General features: G+C 40.3%; 1 protein-coding gene across 4 annotated transcripts in view; it reads right to left on the reverse strand.

Moving 5' to 3' along the window:
- Window positions 1-21207, reverse strand: part of ATP13A4 (ATPase 13A4) — a 194153-nt gene that overhangs the window by 99924 nt on the left and 73022 nt on the right. For all 4 annotated transcript variants that reach the window (XR_007095757.1, XM_047449063.1, NM_032279.4 and 1 more), the window contains 2 exons: window positions 15808-15981; window positions 3603-3749 (listed from right to left, as the gene is read on the reverse strand). Coding sequence is in view for 3 of the 4 variants with exons in the window: in XM_047449063.1 (XP_047305019.1) it covers window positions 3603-3749; window positions 15808-15981 (321 nt within the window). In the remaining variant the exon portion in view is untranslated. The remainder of the gene's footprint in view (window positions 1-3602; window positions 3750-15807; window positions 15982-21207) is intronic.

Here is a 21207-nt window from a genome sequence, read left to right on the forward strand (position 1 = left end):
AAACTGGAAAGACCATATAGCTGGCACAAAATAAGTGCTCAATACATTTTTTTATTAAATAAATGAATGAAAGCTTTGTAAAACCGTGTCAACTAGAAATGCAGTTTAAATCCCTTAGCTCTAAGGTCTAGGTTACCAAAAATGAATGCTAACTCTATGCAATAGGTGTATGTACAGGTACACATGTGCACGTGTGCAAACACACACACAGACATTCAAAGTTACCAAATAGCATGTAAAATGCTGTATTTTTTTATTTTACAGAATGGATTTATTTCAGCAAGGTTGATTGAAACATAATGCATTTAAAAAGTATATCTTATTGCCGATTTAGAGTGAATTTCCAGTAGGAATGACACACAATCTCTCTCTAATTTGCAGATTTCACAATCTGCAAAGGAAATATTTGTAAATGACAGGCTCTAGGGTGTGTTAGCCATCATGACACATGTTGAAATCTCAAGCATCTTGCCTCACAATTTACTTTTCTCTTCAGTATTCTTTGCAATTTTGCAAATAGAGCAGGATTGTAATCACAGCTACTATTTTTTGGGCATGTTAGGACTTTTCACACGTTATGTTTAGTCTTTTCCATCATCCTGTGGTAGGGCAGATATTATTTTCCTCTTCACTTTGCGCCTGAAGTTCATTTTGCTTAAGTAACTTCCCAGGAATTTGAACTCCAGCCCATCTGGCTCCAGAGTTCAATCTCTCAAAGGATATCATATTCAAGCTAGTCCCAAAGGAAAATCTGAAAATCCATTGACTTCAGGATTCAAGCTGTATAAAGTGATGGCTATCTACTTATTAATTATATAAATGCAAAAATCTGTGTTAGAAATATTTTAAAGGACAAATTGTGGTTCCAATGTGAGGCCCCTGATCAGTTCGAGAACCTCTTATCAAGAGGCAGAAACCACACACTGAGGTTGAAAAATGTATAAAACATAATAGACATGAAACATCTGTAGATGAACGCAGCAATAATGAGAAATAAAGAGGCTACTGATAAGTTTTACCTCAGGCCAGAAAATAGAAAATTCCATTATCTTCTGACAATTTCTTAAGCCATTTCTCACAGAGTGAGAAGAATGGCTCCATCCTAGACCTTTTGAGCATATTTGAGATTCCCGCAGGAGAAAACATCTCTGCCAGGAGTTTATCTGCTTCCCCCATCACTCTCAGAGCCTCTGGAAGCTGGTAAGAGGATGTTAAGTACAATATTTGCAAGAGATGAGGTTTATTTGCCTATTTCCTGGAAATTCAGACCAGGAAACAGCAATTAGGAAACCAAGTATCTGCTGCGGGGTGAATTTCATCTTTCTGCTCAGGAATAAGGAAGATTTCCTCTCCCCGGGCTTTCTGCTTGTAATTTCTTGTTAGAACATGTTATAAGAGCATCCTGTTTAACAAGTTAAGCACTGGGTGTTAGCTTTGCCTGTAATCCTGCAAGATGGTCCTTAGCATCTCCTCTTAGCCTGTTTCCAAACCTGACATAGTTCTTTGCTGTAGTCTTCAGACTTCCTTTAAACCAGCGATCTCCAACCTTTTTTGGCACCAAGGACCGGTTTTGTGGAAGAGAATTTTTTCACGAATCTTGGGGATGCGGTGATGGTTTCGGATCATCAGGCAATCATTAGATTCTCATAAGGAGCACCGTAACCTAGATCCCTCACATGCGCAGTTCACAATATTAAGGATTTCACTCCTATGAGAATCTCATGCTGCTGCTGACCTGACAGGAGGCAGAACTCAGGAGGTAATGCTCGCCGGCTTGCCAGCAGCTCACCTCCTGCTGTGTGGCCTGGTTCCTAACAGGCCATGGACAGGGCACCAATCGGTGGCCTGGGGATTGGGGACCCCTCCTTTAAATGCCCCTAAATGGTTACCCTCTTGGTAATGCTGTTATTGTCATCAAGGCTGAGCCCATGACAGCTCCTCTGACTTTAAGGAAAGTTTTGTTACTAGCATAGCTCATTGAAGTTCACAAATGACCTTAATATCCATCGTCTCATTGTGTGTTCATAACAGCCCTGAGAAAGGCAAAGAAGGGGTATTACTTTTATTTTATAAATAAGAAACTCAAGACCAGAGAGGCAGTAACTAACCAAACTGCCTATGCCGTAGCTGGTAAATGAAGATAGTACACCTATCACAACTTTCCATTTCAAGACCTCTGCCCCTCCTACAATTCTGTGTGTTGACTTGGCCATTTCTTCATTTATCTGTCCACTTATTTATTTGATGCTACTAAAGATGCTAGAATTTCAGAGCAATAAAACTATGAGAACATAGGCTATCTGGGAAGCTTATTTCTCCAGGTGAATGGACATCTAACAGATTAGGGAAACTATTATTTGGAGGTACTTGACCTCCTTTGTTTTTGTTTATTTGGGCAGCTAAGACAGCTGAGTGGGTGGGGTGCAGTGGCACACCCCTATAATCCCAGCACTTTGGGAGGCTGAGGTTGGTGGATCACCTGAGGTCAGGAGTTCAAGACCAGCCTGGCCAACATGGTGAAATTCCGTCTCTACTGAAAACACAAAAATTAGCTGGGTGTGGTAGCAGGTGCCTGTATTCCCAGCTACTTTGGAGGCTGAGGCAGGAGAATTGCTTGAACCCGGGAGGTGGAGGTTGCAGTGAGCCAAGACAGCGCCATTGCACTCCACCCTGGGCAACAAGAGTGAAACTCCATTTAAAAAAAAAAAAAAAAAGACAACTGGGTGATAACAATTGACAATAGGAAAATTGCTCATAATTTACTTTATTACTTTAAATAACTGAACTTGAGCTCATAAAACTAATTTAAACAGCTGACCACACATACATAAATGTAAGACAAAACATTCTGTCTTATAAAATGTTTTTAATATGAATGTTAACTAGTCATAATCCAAGCAGAACTAATTTAATAGGGTGAAGAGGGAGCAACCCAAATACATTTGAATGACAAGAATTCAAATAAGGTCATTTTTGTAGGCATAAGCAAACCTCCTGGGATATTCCTGGGTGATTACTTTTACTATAAGATTAACCCTGTTACATAGATTGTAATATGGGGAACGATACTATTAGAGCTAATATGTAAGAGCTGGGCTGGGCGGTACATGCCTGCAATCCCAGCTACTAGGGAGGCTGAGGCAGGAGGATCACTTGAGCCCAGGAGTTTGAGGCTGTAGTGTATTATAATCATGCACCTGTGAATAGCCACTGCACTCCAGCCTGGGCAACATAGTGAGATCCTACCTCTAACAAAAGGAAAAGAAAATAGAGCGAGTATGTATTGAGCATCTGCTATATACCTGGAACTACTTTAATCTTTGTATTTCTAAATTTATTGAATTTTATCAATTAATATTAGAAATAGACATTATTATCATCATTTTGTAGATGAGAAAACAGGCTCAGCAGAGTTAAGATCAATGGTTGCGCTATTTAGAAGGAGCAAGCTGAGATTTGGACTGTCTGGCTCCAAAGTTCACATTTTAAATATACACTATCAAATGAGGATTGGCACAGTAGAGGAGCTACATTTAACTATATACTTGAGGGGAAAAAGATTAAATCTCTCTGACATCAGCAGTAGCCATAAGTTTACTTACCTTTAGGTCTGGCTTTCTTATGGCTCTATTTATGATATACTCCTCATCTGTCATGAGAGGGTGGTCAGGAGTGAGACCAAATGCGCTGTTTAATGCTGACAGGTAGATCCATATTACCTTTTTCCAAGAGTAAATTTGGAATTCATCCTGAGGAGATAGACATCAAAACCCCCAAGAAGTTAAGAGAGGTCAGCAGGCTACAATTCAACCTGAGAAACATCATTTTAATATAATTCTGTAAGTGTTTGGCGTTAGTGAATATTCTAGACAGAACGGTTTGTCTCTGAAAGATGATGGATCTAGAACCTTGAGGGAAAAAGACCTGTCATCACTGACTGAGGAATCTGGATATGAAGATGAGGCACTGACACATAACAAAGCTTGAGAATCAGGAGGCTCATTCGCAGGTAAGAACTAGTTCACTGCATCACCTTTCAACCACCTTTCAGCCCATGACCTGATGACCATCCCCATCTTTCAAGGCTTAACTCAAATTCCACCTCCTACAGAACAGCCTCATTAACACCCTTCCACCGGGGCGGGGCAGGGGGGGGAACTATCACTTTGTTAACTCCAAAAAAATGTTAAGTGTCCCTCTCTTGTGCTCTTAATCACTTTTTCTAGTCCTTCTAGACTACCTGGAATGCAGGGATCACGTTTTATTGTTCCTTATCTCCCATTCATGTGGAGCACTGAGACCTGCTCAGTCAGAGTCTGAAGAATGGAAGAAAAAAACTGAATCCATGGACTGAACCTGCCCAAGGTAATTGCCAAGATGTTAGCACAGGTGGGGTTGAAGAAGGCACCTTATTGCATGACCCTAATTAAAATTGCTTCCATTTGCAGTTCACTGATTACTTCACACAGAGTAAAATTAGAGGGAGAAGCACAGGATTGAGAAACAGATACCACAATGGTCCCTTAGAGACCTATTTGACAGTGGTTATTGTCTGAATAGGGAAATACTAAACATAAAACCCACTCAGATGACTGACAAACCTCAGGATTCAAGAAGTATAACAGAAAAAGTCAAACGTGGGAAAAATTTGATGCTTGGGAAATGTAGGTCAGAGCTGGAAATTGTCTCCACCACCACACCCATTTTTGCTATGAAGAGTGCCCTAGCTGACTCTGCAAAAGGCAGAGAGGGGAAGATACAATCATTGTAGCTAATCTCTTATATTCATCCTCCTAAGAGAAGACCGTCTGTATGCCTTTGCTCCTGCTGCTTCCTTAGCCTGTAGTACACATTCTTCTCTCTTCTCCTTAAGTCTTTACATGGCTGGATTCTACCATCCTTCAGGGTCCAGCTCAGAGTTTATGTCCTGAGAACCTCCCTAATTACTCTGGGTGATCTCTCCTCTAAATCATCAGGATACTCAAGATTCCTACCACATTTTACCCTTTGCCTATCCACCTTACCACTTCTCTTGGACTATGGGTAGGAATTGTGTATGATGCATGTCTGCACTTCAGCCAGGCTTAGCACAGGTTCTGTGTGCATGTGTGTGTGTGTGTGTGTGTGTGTGAGAGAGAGAGAGAGAGAGAGAAAGAGAGATGAAGAAGGGAAGGAAGCCAACAAGAGGGGAAAATAACCTTAATAGAAATTGGAATATTAATTAATTAATCAATTTTAAAAGCCAATGTAATTGGCTGTTACACTGTGGATTTAAAAAAAAAGGTGACTAAATCAATTCAAATCAAATTGTATGGAGTTAAGAATGATGAGCCTAAGAATGGTGGAAGGGAGCTAAATTTTCAATGACTAAGTCACCGATCTGATGATAGACATGGTCTAGGTATGGTAGAGTAGGCAACCAACTCTCTTGAACAAACCTTGACACAGTTCAGCATTATATAGCTTTGCTTTTGACTTTATCAAAGCAGTTTTTAAGTAAGAACTTTCCATTTCTAATAACAGTTAATATTTATTTCACACTTATTATGTTCTAAGCACATAATGCTACATATGTATTATTTCATTTAATGTCAAAAACACTATGGAATTGTTACAGTTAATTATTCTCCCATTTAGTTGGCAAGGAAAGAAAGACATACTTGGTAACTATTAGAGCAGGCACTTAACAGTCACCTCCCCACTCCTGCTTGCCTCCTCCAGAGTCCCCTCTAACCTTCCACTTTATTCTACATTTTGCTAAAAAATATAATTTGATTGGACTGCCATTTTTATGTCGAGCCTGAACTGGAACTTCTAAAAAACATAGTTTCAATGAAAAATTTGGTAAGAAAATGTATAATTTGTAGGTAAATAGGAACACAAATTATAAAAGAGCCATCAAGACCAGAGACCTCTTGCCACCAAGTAGGGACAATTAGGAAGACAGCAACTATTAATCGTCTCCAGTGAATTAAAATAATATTAACAACTTTCATATGTTTACCTAGCAGTTTCATAATTTTCATATGATTACATAGCAGTTTGTAGAAATTTTGTTATGTTATCTTATTTTAGGCTTACAATTCTCCAGTGTTGGTATTATAATTATCTCCATTTTGCAGATGAGAAAACTAACCACCAGCAAGGCTAAGAATTGCTCAAGCCAGTCTGAAACTGGTAGTAGGAATAAAACTGAGACCTGAGTCCAGATCTTTCCATTCCAAATCTTGGTCCCTTCCTCTTTATTTCAACAAGTTGTCCCATGGTGTCTATGGCTTGCATGTAAAAATCACCTTGAATTCTGTACCAACTGACAAATAGTATCCAGTTTCTCACAATCTCTGCTCTCCTGACAGCATAGAATCTAATTCCTGAAATCAAGCTGTCACCCTCTGGCCCTGTGTGACAGCAGACAGACCTCCAGACTGTAATGCCTAAAGAGGGAAAAGCAAAGTGTCCAGGTTCTCAAAGGCCATATTAATCCAGTGCACCAACTAACTGTATGCCTTAGTCTAGGTGTGTATTAAAAACTGACATTCATCTATACACCTATCTCTTCTTATAGCTCATAATATTATCAAATCAAAGGTACTTGGATATATTTGCCTTTAAGCTCATTTCCTAACATCCCCATTTACTCCCAATCCCAATACTCATAATTCTGTATGATACAAAGTAGAATAAAATAATTCTACTAATTATGTATCATACATAATTCTGTATGATACAAAGTAGAAAAAATAAAAGATAGGACAGCTAGATGACCCTTTTGCTTAGAGTAGGGGAGTGACACTGACTTCTCTCTTGTATACTACCCTGTTGAGGACTCTGTCAAATCACCCAGCTTTTTAAGGAAAAAAAGCAAAGAAATGGAAGGAAAGTACACCAGTGTGAAGTGGTCACTTCAGGCAAAATCATTGACTTCTCAGTTTTCATTTTGGGGTTGTCCAATATGGCAAGAGCACAGGCTTGAGGCCTGAACTCAAATCCCAGCTCTAAACTGTCTTACAACTGTCTGAAGCTAATTTTCTTTATTTAGAAAATGGAAGTAATACCAAATTTCATGGATGTTTGAAGGATTAAATGAAGTATACATAATGTGTCTGATCTAAGGTTTGGCCCATAGCAGGGAGGCAACAAATGGTATGGCTCTGTGCCTCATTTTTCATAGCATGTTGTTTCTGAGTTCTTTCTGTAAGTAGGAACTTATTCTCCCTTTGAGGAAACTCTAAAAGTCTCTCAATTTTTCCTTTTTGGAAAAGCAGCATCTTTGCCTGTAAATGGCTTCTTCTACTTTAGTCTGTTTCCCAGCTCTCTTCAAAGCAGGTAATGATTTGTAAAATACTTAAATGTACCAGAGGAGCTACCATTTTAAATAATTGGTTTATAATGCAAATAATGCAAAGTGCTTGCCTGGCAAATCTGGACTTTTTACACCTCAGGTCTCATTGAGAAGGCTTTACCTCCTCTTTATCAAAAATATTAACCGGATCAGTCCTTGAACTCTAAAAAAATAGGTTTTACAAAAATTCAAGAGTGCATTTCAAAAGTCGAATGTATACAAAGGACCAGTGTTTGACCTGGACTGAAAAACAGAGGGAGAAACCTGGACATTTTTTATTTCCTGTGGTTTTGTACTTTCTGACCCTGGAAATGCCAGATAAACTTTTAGACTTGAATGAAGCAAGCTATCTCGTGATATGGTTTGGCGGTGTCCCCATCCAAATCTCCTCTTGAATTGTAGTTCCCATAATCCCCTCATGTCATGGGAGGGACCCAGTGGGGGGTAATTTAATCATGGGGGCAGTTACACTCATGCTGTTCTCATGATAGTGAGTAAGTTATCACGAGCTCTGATGGCTTTATAAGGGGCTTTCACCCTTTTGCTTGGCACTTCTCCTCGCTGCCAGCATGTGAAGAAGGATGTGTTTGCTTCCCCTTCCACCATGATTGTAAGTTTCCTGAGGCCTCCCCAGACATGCTGAACTGTGAGTCAATTAAACCTCTTTCCTTTATAAATTACCCAGTTTTGGGTATGTCTTTATTAGCAGCGTGAGAACAGACTAACACATCTTGCTTAACCTAATTCTATCCTTTTACAATAAGAACCTCATCCCTTGAAATTTAAAAGCAATATAATGGTTGCTTCAAGTTCAGGCCAATGCTGTGACCTCTCTTGTATAGTTCACTACACAAAAAAATGTAGTTCTGGCTTGCCTTAAAAAGAACCCATTTCAAAGTTCCAATGAGACATTAGAAAGTGAGTAATTTTCTCCTGGAGATGGATACATTGCAATGCTAAAAGGCTGAACTCTAGCTCATGTGAAATACCTAGAGGATTATGGATAATGTAATAATAAATTTCTCAGGCTATTCTAAAATGCTGCACTGCCTTTATAGACCCATAACTTTGGTAAAATTCTTTTATTTTTACAGCTATCATTTTTTTTCTTTCTCTTTCCCTCTCCTGGCCAGACTCATTGATGCTCTTAACATCCCGACCTCATATTCCCAATGTCTTTTAGTTGGAAAAAAGTTGACATTGGCTAGAATATAGGATTTAGTTATAATATACATAAAGTTCTAAGTTTTGGAGAAATTCTCACAATAATTATTATCTCAGTATATGTTGTCCAAAAAAAAAGAGGAGGGAGGGACAACACAATGAGGTTATTAACAAAGCAAAGGCTATGTTTATGTTTGTGTACAAAACAAGGAAATCTAGCAAACTCAGCATACATTTTTTTGGAGGGATGGGATTTGGGGCTTGCTCATTTTTGTAGCTGTTTTCTGAGGGGAAATGGAGCAGTGGATTAGCGGGTCATCGTCTGAAACTTCTGGAGATATAGTGTGTAGTAAAAAGTTGACTAATGCCCATGGAATGCCTGCATGCCAAGCAGTCTTTATTTCAGAACTTTACACATATCACATCCTTAGTTCTCACAAGGAGATAGGTATTATCATCAGCCCCGGTTAACAGAAAAAAAATGGAGGCAAAAAGAGGTTAAATAACCTGCCTGTTATGAATTGAGTTGTGTCCCCTCAAAATTCTCATGTTGAACCCCTCACCTCCAACATATTTGGAGATAAAGCCTTTAAGAAGGTAATTAATGTTGAATGAGGCCATAAGGGTACACACTAATCCAAAAGGACTAATGTCCATATGAGATGAAGAGACACCAGGTGTGCAAGAGCACAGAGAAAAGACCCCATGAAGACACAGTGAGAAGACAGCCTTCTTCAAGCCAGGAAGAGAGGCCTCACCAGAAACCAACTCTCCTGGCCCTAGATCTTGGACTTTCGGCTCCCAGAACTATGAAACAATAAATTTCTGTTATTTCAGCAAAACCTGGTGTGTGGTATTTTGCTATAGAAGCCTAGCAGGCAAATACACTGCCCAAGGTCAAGAGCAGTGCTGGGAATCAAATCCAGGTACTCAGAACCTAGAGTTTATTCTTAAACCACTTCACAATGCTGCCTCTGTAGAATCTGGTCACTGGACAGAGAATAATTAGATCTCTAGTTCCAACTCTAGTTCAACTCTCATCTTCCGGCTATGGGACCCTGAGAATTTTGTTTAATTTCTCTATGCCTCCATCTGTAAAACTGGAGAAAAAAATCTCTACTGGTAAGGACCAAATGAGACAACTATATGTAAATTGTTAAATCGTAATATAAATGGCCCTGTATTATAAAGGATAATAGTCTCAAAACGATTTATCTTAACATTGAGTCATTTCTCAGAGGCCAGCTCACAGAATCTCAGAGATTTGTGGTGAGATGTCTAATGAAAGACCAGGTTGAAATGGGACTGAGTTGGGGAGTGGGTAGGAAAGCAGGATTCAGAAGTGGGAATGTGTACCTGAAAGAAACATAATGCTATATTCTCTTTCTCAACTGTGACATTCCACTTTAGTATCCTTGAGATAAAATTCTGGTAGAAACAGTGAGACTATTTATTATAGATTCAACTTAATTCAACGTATTAAATTAAATTAAATAACTAAGTCCTGCTGTGGCCATGTGCTAGGTGCCAGGGGGAATGAAATGTATACCACAATCACTGTCTTCAAAAAGCTTATAATCTAGACTGTCCAGGAAAAAAAAAAAAAGCTGAGAAGTTCCAGGAATAGAAAGCTTATAATTTTAAAGGATCAAAAGCTACAAAAAGGAATCCAGCACAGTGAGAAAAAAAAGATTCGGGACTTAGAGAAAGTCTTAGGTTTAAGTTCTTTGCCCCCATATTCCCTCCACCTGCATCACTCTCCATGTGCCTGCCCCCAGCAGCCACCATCACCTTTTAACTCTTATCCTTTGGTGCTCAGAAAGCCTTCCCTGACTGTTTTGACTTGGCCAAATCTCTATTATGTAATCCTACCATAACCTGGAGCCTTTCCTAAGGAGTACTTTTAAGAGGTGGATTTTTACATTTATTTGTGTACCGATCTGATTAACTCCATGAGGTCAAGAACCCTGGTTTTATTAATCACACACACTTACACACTTGCCCATGAGCCAGCACTGTTGGCTGGCATACAATGTGTGCTCCTCAAATGTATAAAAAAGAGAGAGATATAAGGAAGGAAAGCCTGGCTTTGATATTTACTGGGTTGTAAAGTCACTTGGTCTCTTTGTATCCTCATCTGTAAAATGGAGATGATAATGCCCATTTTCCAGGGTTGTTATGAGAATTAAATAATCAATGACATACTGCTTTATAAACTGTAAAGTGAATAGTATTTTAATACACGGTAAAAAGCACTACAGCGGTCACAAATGAAAACACAGAGCTAATGCAGGACAGGCAATTAACTCCCTCCCTTCTGAACTGGCGCAAAGAATGAATCAACAAAGACTTAACAGAGAAGGTGATATGTGGCTGAGGAATGAGGAGAATTTAATAAGTAGAGACAACACCTACTTTCTACATTTACTTGAGAAAGAGAAAGCATGTGTGTGTGTTGACTCCTCACTAGAAAATCACTCTGTAAGGACAAGGATTTCCATCTGTTTTGCTCATAGTTATATTCCCAGTGCCTATGCCAATGTCTGGTACATGGTTGGTGTGTGGTAAATACTAACTCACTGAAAACATAAGTGAATGAATGCATGCATGAATGGAGGGGAGAAGGAATTATCAGAAGAAACTTTATGGGTAAAAGCAGGCACAAAACAGTGTCTTGTTCCAGTAGAAAGTGGTCCTGGTGTGGGAAACGTGGGCTGTGAGAGACCAAGTTGCAGAGGAGGAGCGGGGAGGAGAGGAGGTAAGCGACCCAGTGAACACAGATGCTGCCGCCTGACGAGAATACTGGTACACTGGCAGACTTTAAGATGACATTCGCGTGGCTGATTGGCAGAGTTTCTAAGTTTTTGAACTAACGCTCCTAGCCCTGACATCTTTAATTGAAACTGAAGCGAAAATACTCCCCATTAAAACATCAAACGGAAGTGCCTTGAGTCAGGCCGCATTGCTAATCATCACAAAGTTCTCCTCTGCACACCACGGGTCTTTGACAACATGTAACCTACGATGACAATGAGGGGGAAAATGTGTTTGTAATTACAATAAAGATGGAAGCTATGAAAATCAGGAGCATCTGAATTCAAAACAATGCATATAAATCATGTCATTTGCATAGAAACGTGGCATTGCTACTGATATTGGTTAAAAATCAGAAGTAGATGAATAATGAACAGAATGCTGCTTTTAAAATTATAAAATAAAAACCTAATTACTCTTATCTTTTGGAAAAATCTCTCAGAGTCCTTAATAAGAGAAGAAGAACTGAAAATAAACTGTGTACTGTAGACTTTCAGTCAGTACATCACCGTCTTTTTTTTTAATGTCAAGAAATGACTGCCTAATCAGTATCTGTGATAATGATCTGTAATCTTACCAGCGTGAGATTGATGATAAATAGCAAGTACTGATTTTTTAATAACATGAAGAACAGATATACAACACATTTTCAGGTAGGAGTCATCCAGACCTCCTTAATGGAAAATCATCACAGTCCAGCTATTGTAATATAATTCAAATAAAATCTTTTTAAGATGTCATTTTAATGCAAATAACCTAGCAGCAAACTTTTAAACTATTGGTGCCCAAAGCTTATTTTTATCTAACTCTCAGATAGTAAGAATGTTTGAAATAATTGAGTTCTTGTCTAATTACCTAAAGACTAATTCAGAACTTCATTTATTTGGAGAGTCTCTGGCATAGCAGATCCATTTAAAATGACACACAAGAGCAGGCAATTAAAAATTAAAGTTGAAATCAAGATGAAAAAGGCAAGATTGAAGCCGGCTTAGACTGCTCTGATTAGCTGTGGAGGGGCAGTGAAATTCGACAAGGGCTTGACAGACTGTCAAGGATGCAAAGAAAGAGGCAGGATGATGGAACGAAGCTCCCAGGGGCACCAAAGCTGTTTTGAGTCTTTCCAGTATATGTCCATTTGCAAAGCTGGCTACACGCAACTAGGAGAGATCACCCGACTGAGTATGGATGAGAGCTGGAGACTCCCAGTCACAGAAAACCTTCCCTCGTGTCCGTTGTCCCAGAGGGGAATGCCAGGCTCGTGGGTAATTAGGAAAAGGCACGTCATCCAGATAAGCAAGACCATTAGATATGGGTGCACCTTGTGCATAGCAAGCTCTTTTGTATAGAACACTTTTGGAATGGCTTGAGCAATGACACACACACACACAATCAAAGTGGTGTTTGACAATGCATTTTACAGTTTGCAAATGCCTTTTACATAGACAATAGCCCTTCATTCTCACACTAGCCCCATTTTACAAGTGGTGAAATTGAGGTCCTAAAAAGTTAGGTAACAAACCTAAAGTACTAGGACAAGAAATCAAAACGTTTGACTCCTTCATTCTCACACTGCCCCATTTTACAAGTGGTGAAATTGAGGTCCTAAAAAGTTAGGTAACAAACCTAAAGTACTAGGACAAGAAATCAAAACGTTTGACTCCAAATCCCAAAACACATCATCTCCTCATTTAGTGACACTCTTTTTTAATTCACTCTTAGTGGATTTTTTTCTCTTTTCTCTCTCTTCATTTTCCTCTTACCTATTTTCCTCCCTTCCTTTTCCATTTCCTTGCCCATTTCCTCTTATTCTTGTCTGTGCCATAACTCTGCCAGCACCTCAGAGAGCACGGCTCAGCTGAGCAGACCATCTGAGATCTGAAGAGCTTGCTGATGGACCCTGCAAGGCAGAGCGTGGTTCTGTTTCTACTGTAGCAAAAGCGTTACCCTCTGAGAACTAGTTGAGGGCATACAGATGGACTTGTAGAGTACAGTTAAATTACGTTCATGCCAGAAAATAATAATCTGATAGATTCTTAAGTTCGCGTGGAGGGGTTGATCTATAAAAGGGCCCAAAGATGGAGTCTTCCATAGATACTCACACCCCTGCTCTGAGCCCCAGAAAGCAAATTTTATCCCTGTCCTAGAAAGGCACTCAGGCTATGTATGGGAGGGCCACTCATAGCACTTTACTAAATCTGGATTCTTCTCTTTCAGATTATAAATATATACCATCTGAGCCATACATCAAATGTCTAGGTCTCTATTTCTCTCCCAAGGACCAAGTGAACAAGTGAGCTCACAAATGGAAGTGAAAACTAGTTACAGCAGTTTTTCTCTAAATATGGCCCCTTATAAGAATCATTAGCATCACTTGAGAACCTGTTAAAATGCAAATTCTTGGGTCTCAATCCAAATCTAATGAACTAGAATCTCTGGGACTGGGACCCAGCAAGCTGTTCCGATAGCCTCTCTAGATTATTCTGATGCCAGTTGAAGTGTGTGAACCCTGGTCTAAGTACAGTGCAATGGAAAAGCCCTTGACTAGGAGCCAGGACTCATGGGACTTAGTCCTGGTGAGGCCCCTCACTCACACGTGAGCTAGGGGAAATTGTGTCACCTCCCTAGCCCCATTTCCTCACCCATCAAATGAAGAAGTCTTATGTGGGGTGCCGGGCACTTTTCTTTTGTGCACATCCTGTGAGTCTTCAGGAAGGATGACACGAGGCATCAACGAAGCACAGCTCCAGCTCAACATCACCAATATCACTTGCTCTTATTCCACAATAACCTCTTGCTTCCTTAAAGTCTTAAAGCTTATTCTCCAAGAGTCTCTAGTAAAATTATAGTTGAACTTGTGAGAAGATGCCTCAGCTATTACCTGTATCATGGCTCACATATCAGCTAAGCTAGAACATAGAACAAGTATTTCTTGAAGGGACCAAGATCCAGAAATGAAAGGTGAGGCTGGCCCCAATGGAGCAAGTCAACAAAGACCAACTTCCTCCAGTTCTCAGTTTCATTGGAGTTTAGCCTCACCTCTGTTAGATTTCTTTTTGGCCAGTTATAAGGCTGATTGCTATCCTTCTCTCTTACTGCATTAAATAGAATATGTATCTAGAGAGATTGTAATATATAAAAGGAAGCTAAACTCCCAACAGAGTTTGATTTATCAACAATTTGGTTGTCATTCGGGGCCATGGGCTGATGCATTCTTATAAACACTCAGTAAAAGTCAACTAGAAGAGAGTCCTCTAGGAGACTGTCCTTCCACTCTCTTTAATAGAAACATCCACTTCAGCCTGTCAGCCACCACATAGTAACAGAATCGCTACCACATGCAGGAACTGGGGGTGCAGCAATTAACACGTTAGAAATGCTCACTTCCTTTGAGAAGCTGACAGTCCCGCAGGGATGATGCACATTGTCCGAGTGCCATGAGTGCTGCAAGGAATTGGTATGGAAGGAAATACAGGGAAACTCACCCAAAGCCAGAGGCTTTTATTAACAGAGAGAGGCAATGGCCTCAAGGGCAAGATGGCTGCACTTTTTACCCTAGTGTATCTGCAGAATGTGACATGCTCTCATCAATCAGCTGGGACAGACAGCATCCTCCTCAGAGTGATGCTCCCCACCCCTTCCCTTCTTTTCCTCAGGAGTCACTCCAGTGCAGGGAGTGGGATATGTCAGGAATCGAGAGGAACGGTCAGTGTGAACTTAGTAGCCTATAGCCTGACTTGACTACTTCACATTTCCTGTTATTTTTAGCTATTAACATGTGGTTGTTCCCTGCTCTAGCATTCACGAAACTCACAACTTTAAAAGAAATATCTTGTGAAATCGCTCTTCTTGATCAAACCTCACCATCCACAATTTTTAATTTAACTTGTATTTTAAGATCGGGGAACATGTGCAGGTTTGTTATATGAGTAAACTTGCTTCATGGGGGTTTGTTGTATAGATTATTTTGTTACCCATGTATTAAGCTTAGTACCCATTAATTGTTTTCCCTGATCCTCTCCCTCTTCCCAGCCTCCACCTTCTGACAGACCCCCGTATGTGTTGTTCCCTTCTATGTGTCCATGTGTTATCATTTAGCTCCCACTTATAAGTGACAACATGCGGTATTTGATTTTCTGTTCCTGCGTTAGTTTGCTAAGGATAATGGCTTCAGCTCCATCCATGTCCTGAAAAGGACATGATTTCGTTCTTTATTATGGCTGCAGAGTATTCCGTGGTGTACATGTACCACATTTTATTTATCCAGTCTATCACTGATGGGCATTTAGGTTTGTTCCATGTCTTTGCTATTGACCATACACAAATTAGTGAAATCCTGCTAGATGCAAGGCTGTGATGAAACCTAAGGAACCAAAGACTGGAGCCTCCACCTGCTATCTGTCTTGTGCACATCTCCCCCCAGCCATCCCGTAACACATTGTCCAGAAACAAAAGGGGGGCACCAGCGACATAACCAGGTACACACTTACCGTTGTCCTCAGCAACACAGTGTCTGCTTCTTGCAAGGAACATGGGACACAATGTGCCCATACGTGCCATGCTGGTCTCCAGTAAAACACCAAGGGGAGGATTCCAAATGAGAAGATGGATCCGGCAAGGCAGAGACTTTTCCGGCAGCCTTGAGTCCGATAGCCAAATATCTCCTGGGACAGAATCAAAATGATACCAAATATTGGTTAAGCACAATAAACAATAAATGAACAAATACTGATTTTAGTGATGGAAATGGGGGCAGAGTGAAGGAGTTGAGGAGGGTGAGGAGAGGGCAGGGTGAGGCATGGAGAGAGTGGAGAGGAAATCTTGACAAAGAAGTGTAAGACATGATCCCAGGAAGCAAGGAAGTCACAGTCTAACTAGGAAATCAGTTTCTATCATTTGAGCACCTAGATACCCTGTGCCAAGCACTGTGCTAGGTGTTTAGATGTGCTGTCTTGTTTAACTCTCCCAATCATGCCTATCCCTGTGTTTTCCCTGAAGTGAGATAATCATCCTCATTTCATACATGGTGGGACTGAGCTTAGAGTGGCAGAATGGGATGATGTGCCCAAGGCCGCACAGCTAGAATGTCCCACTGCTAAGATTCCAATCCAGGTCTGTCAGCTGGCGAGCTGACAGCAGCACCAAGAGATTCCCTTGGCTGGGATCAGCAGACACAGGAGAGGGAGAGAAAAGAACCAGGCCTTGAAATCTGAGTCAGGATTGGGTGAAAGTATTTGACCATAAGAGGATTAACAAGTAAATGCCAGCTTGCCCTTGGGAGTTTGGGGTAGAGTTGTGCCTTCCCATGTTCCTTCCTCATTCATCAACAAACAATTTTATGTCAAGAGGAAAACACCATAGGGACTATTTGGTTTACTTCATCTCATTCTACTGAGCACCAATGCGTCATGAGAGGATATTATTAGACCCCAGAGGATACATACAAGACAAGATAAGAGTCTCACCTCTAATAAATATATAATCTAGACAAACGTCTTCCTTCCAAGGAAATCCTGAGATAGAATAGAAAACCATCCCTGAAGTTTATGGTCTTAGTCCCACAACTTTATCCCACAAAGTCATGGGTATACTTTACACTGGTTATGACAGCTAAAATTGAGAGGTAGTAGAGTGTCCTGGTTAAAAGCACATTCTCCAGACCAAGACTCTTTGGGTTCAGAGACTAGCTCTGCCACTTACTGGGCGTGTGATTTTTCAGTACATTATTTAACCTCTTTATTCCTCAGTTTGTCTTCCATAAAATGGGATAGTAATAGCACCCACATGACAGGGTTGTTGCCCTATGTAAGCATTTACTACGGCTGTTGCTGCTATTACTTGATCACATGTCTCTGAAATAGACCTGAAATTCTATCCACCAGTTTATTGGCAGTTAGGTACAAGAATTCCTAGTGTCAACAGTTCTGCTCTTGCTAGAATTGTCTCTTAGGATAACAAGGGAGTTGGAACATAAAACTTTAAATCTATCAACTTCTTTATCTCACCTGATAAAGATTACATTGCCAGGAAAGGTTCTGTGATGCTTGGCTGAAGGTTGCTTTTGTGTGTAAACATTAGATTCCTTTCTACTATTAGCAACACATACAGGTGCCGAATGGCTTTCTTAGGCATTGTCCAAATTTGGCATAACTGATAAAATGTTCTCATTAACTCAGAAATACAATCTCTTAACTAATTTTGCAAAGTAGAATGTAGATTCTGACATGAATACTCTTCTGCTCCAAGCTCAAGCCATTGCTCTCCAGATGCCAAGCCTAGAATGGCTCTGTCCCCTCAACACACTGGCAGCAATGCTCTCTTAATCCCACACAGAGCAGTGCCCTAGTCTTAATTTCCTTACTTGTCCTGAGTCCAGCTACCATTCTTTCCCATGTGCTTTTTCTATGTTTCAACACTTTGGCATAGATCAATTTGTACCTTCCGACTCAGCCATTTTTTCATCTTTTTAAAATATTATATTTAAAAGTTTCCTTATATTGCCAGTCAGTTGAGCCCCCATGTAATATGCCTGAGTTACTCGGTTCTATAGCAAAAACCTCTCTGTTACTATGCATTCTTTTTTGGGCTACGCAGTGAGGGCTCTCTACAGTTTCCAAAGTGTCTTTGTGTTCATTGCCAACATAAAGTAAACAAAAATTATTATCTTAATTCCCCATTAAGAAAACTAAAGTTCAAAGTTACTATAATACCTTTAATAGTAATAATAGTGATTATTAACAACTAATTATTGATAACAGTGCTAGCAGCTAACACTTATTGGGCACTTAATAGCCTTTCACTAAGCACATGATACATATTCTCCCATTTAGTTGAAAAAGATTAAATTAGTTTCCCAAGCCACAAAGCTCATAACTAACTCAAAACTGGGCCTCCAGTCTAGACCTCTGCAGCACATGGAAGATGATGTGGGCTGGCCATTTCTACTCCTATGCTCTTCTTTATTCTTTTATTTCAGTTCAATTTAACAAATGTTTGTTACATGTCCACCAAATGGCAGGCATGTGCTAGACGCAGAGATAAATAAGACAATATCTCCAGTCTCAAGGAGCTCATTAGTTTAGTAGAGAAGAGAGTCACACAAACAGCTAAGATTAAACAAGGTTAGAGCAATAAAGGGTTACATGGAGAGATAACCATATAAATTGTCACCTGAATGGGGTGCTATTAATAATAACACTGGGACAACAGGAGTAGGTGGGTGTGAAGCGAATGCTTCACTGTAATTTCCAGGCACTACAACCAACTGTTTTGTTTTATTTTATTTTATTTTGAGACGGAGTTTCGCTCTGTCGCCCAGGCTGGAGTACAGTGGCGCGATCTCGGCTCACTGCAAGCTCCGCCTCCCGGGTTCACGCCATTCTCCTGCCTCAGCCTCCCGAGTAGCTGGGACTACAGGCGCCCGCCACCACGCCCGGCTAATTTTTTTTGTATTTTTTTAGTAGAGACGGGGTTTCACCGTGTTGGCCAGGATGGTCTCATCTCCTGACCTCGTGATCTGCCCGCCTCAGCCTCCCAAAGTGCTGGGAGCCACCACGCCCGGCCTACAACCGACTGTTTTAAATGAATGCATTTCAATGGATTTACCTCGCTGCTCATCCAATCTGGACACCTATTAAAATCCTTGCCTCTGTACAGTTTCTTCTTTGCCACTCTTAAATACTAAAGAACATTTTTCTAAGTTTCTTCCAAGTTAATTTGACTTATAGATTCAGGTGAAAAATTCTCAACATGAATGACCTAATCTAGAAATCTTAAACTGGAGGCTCAAAAGGAATGACCTACAGTCTCATTTCTTTTTTACCTGTTAGGTATTTCTTAAAACTTTAAATTTGTCCCCCAGTTATTTTCACATAAAAATTAAGATTTCTACTTTTTCCTTAAAATAAATTAAAATGGTGACAATATTGTTCCCACATTCTTGCACTGCAGTAATCAGTTGGAGAGCAAAAAAAACCATGTGTAATATAACCCAGAAAATAACCCAGATGCCATCAGTGAGTGAGATGTACTGTGGTGTGTCCACACAATGAGATTTAATACAGCACTTCAAATGTATGAGCTCCAGCAACACACATCAATATGGATGACTCTTAGTAATAGAATAGGAAGTGAAGAAAGTCAGTGCAAAGGATTGTAATAGCATCATAACCTTTTTATAAAGTTAAAAACTGCTAGCATTTCAATTATTTGGGGGATATATCTAGATAAAAGAAAACCATATAGGAAGGAAAGCAAGGGAATGATGAACACATGATTTAGTACAGTGGCTGCCTCTGTTGGGGAAAGGCAGAGGAATGAGAGGCCATACTGTTACATGCAGATTATTGTCAAAGTCCTAGCTTTTGTTTGTGGTGATGGGTTCAGCACATTATTATAAAGAACTAATAAAGTAGCTAACCAAATTAATGCAACACAACATGGGCAAATAATATGAGTGTGTCACGAACCAAAGATTATGGACAATCTAATTGTGAGTACCTCAAGTCTTAGGAGAAAAAAGAACCAGCCAGAGCAAGTACCATATGCCCCCTCTAAATGAGCAGGTGCCCACTTCTTTTCTGTGGTTCCTGCCTTGCTTTCTTTTTTCCCCAACACTGAGGCTATATGTTAGGTTCCATCTCACATCTCATGCCAGACCTGCTCATTGGAGCTACAGTCTCACCCTGTAAACTAGTGGTTCTCAACCAAGGGAGAGTTTGTCTCCCAGGGTACATTTGGCAATGTCTGGAGATATTTTTGGGTCACCCAACTTCTGGCATCTGGTGCTCAGAGGCAGGAATGCTTCTAAGCACCCCACAATGCAGAGGACATTCTCCTACCTCCACCCTCCACAAGAAAAAAATTATCTGGTCCAAAATAGTGCCAAGATTGATAAAACCTGCTTTAGGCATTTTAGTTTCCTCCCACCTAAACTAGGCAGATCTTTAGGTCCTAGTGCCTAGGATGACATCTTCAGCACCCAAAGAACTAGAAAATTTTGATTTTGAAACCCATGGTAAAAGAGGATTGACACTTAATACTAAATGACCAACAAAGTAGGTAATGGTTGCAATGCAGCCCAACAAATCATTTCACAGATAAGGAAACTGAGGTACTAAGACAGAAAGCAGATTGCCCATGTGATCTACCACCTGCCTTCCTCTCCAACTCCATCTTGGACCACTTTCCCTCTATATCACTCTGTACCAGCCACGAGGACTCTTTCCATTTTGTTGAATTCACCCAGCCCTTTCCTGCCTCATGGTCTTCCCATGGCTTGCTATTTCTCATTCTTTCAGTCTCCTTTAAATATTTGCTTTTCAGAGAGGTCTCAGCCAACCATCCTATATAATTAAGCCCTTAATCTCATGTGCCCTTTATAATACTTTTGTAGAATTTTCACAATTTGCAATTTGTAATTTTTTTTTTTTTTTTTTTTTTTTTTTTTTTAGACAGAATCTTGCTCTGACTCTGTCACCCAGGCTGGAGTGCAGTGGCGCAATCTCGGCTCACTGCAGCCTCTACCTCCTGCGTTCCAGTGATTCTCCTGCCTCAGCCTCCTGAGTAGCTGGGATTACAGGCGCCCGTCACTGTGCCCAGCTAATTTTTGTATTTTTAGTACAGACGAGGTTTCACCATGTTGGCCAGGCTGGTCTCGAACTCCCGACCTCAGGTGATCCAGCCGCCTCAGGCTCCAAAAGTGCTGGGATTACAGGCGTGAACCACCGCACCTGGCCTGCAATTTCTATTTTTTGCTTGCTTTTCTGTTTCCTCCTTTCTGCTCCCCTACAACGAGGCTTTAATTTATGTCATAGTAGGATCAATTCAAGTTTTTTCCTCCCACGTTGTTTACCCAGCATCACATACATTATCTGCATGTAGTGGGCACT

This window comes from Homo sapiens, chromosome 3 (assembly GCF_000001405.40).
Source record: "Homo sapiens chromosome 3, GRCh38.p14 Primary Assembly".
Taxonomy (NCBI): domain Eukaryota; kingdom Metazoa; phylum Chordata; class Mammalia; order Primates; family Hominidae; genus Homo; species Homo sapiens.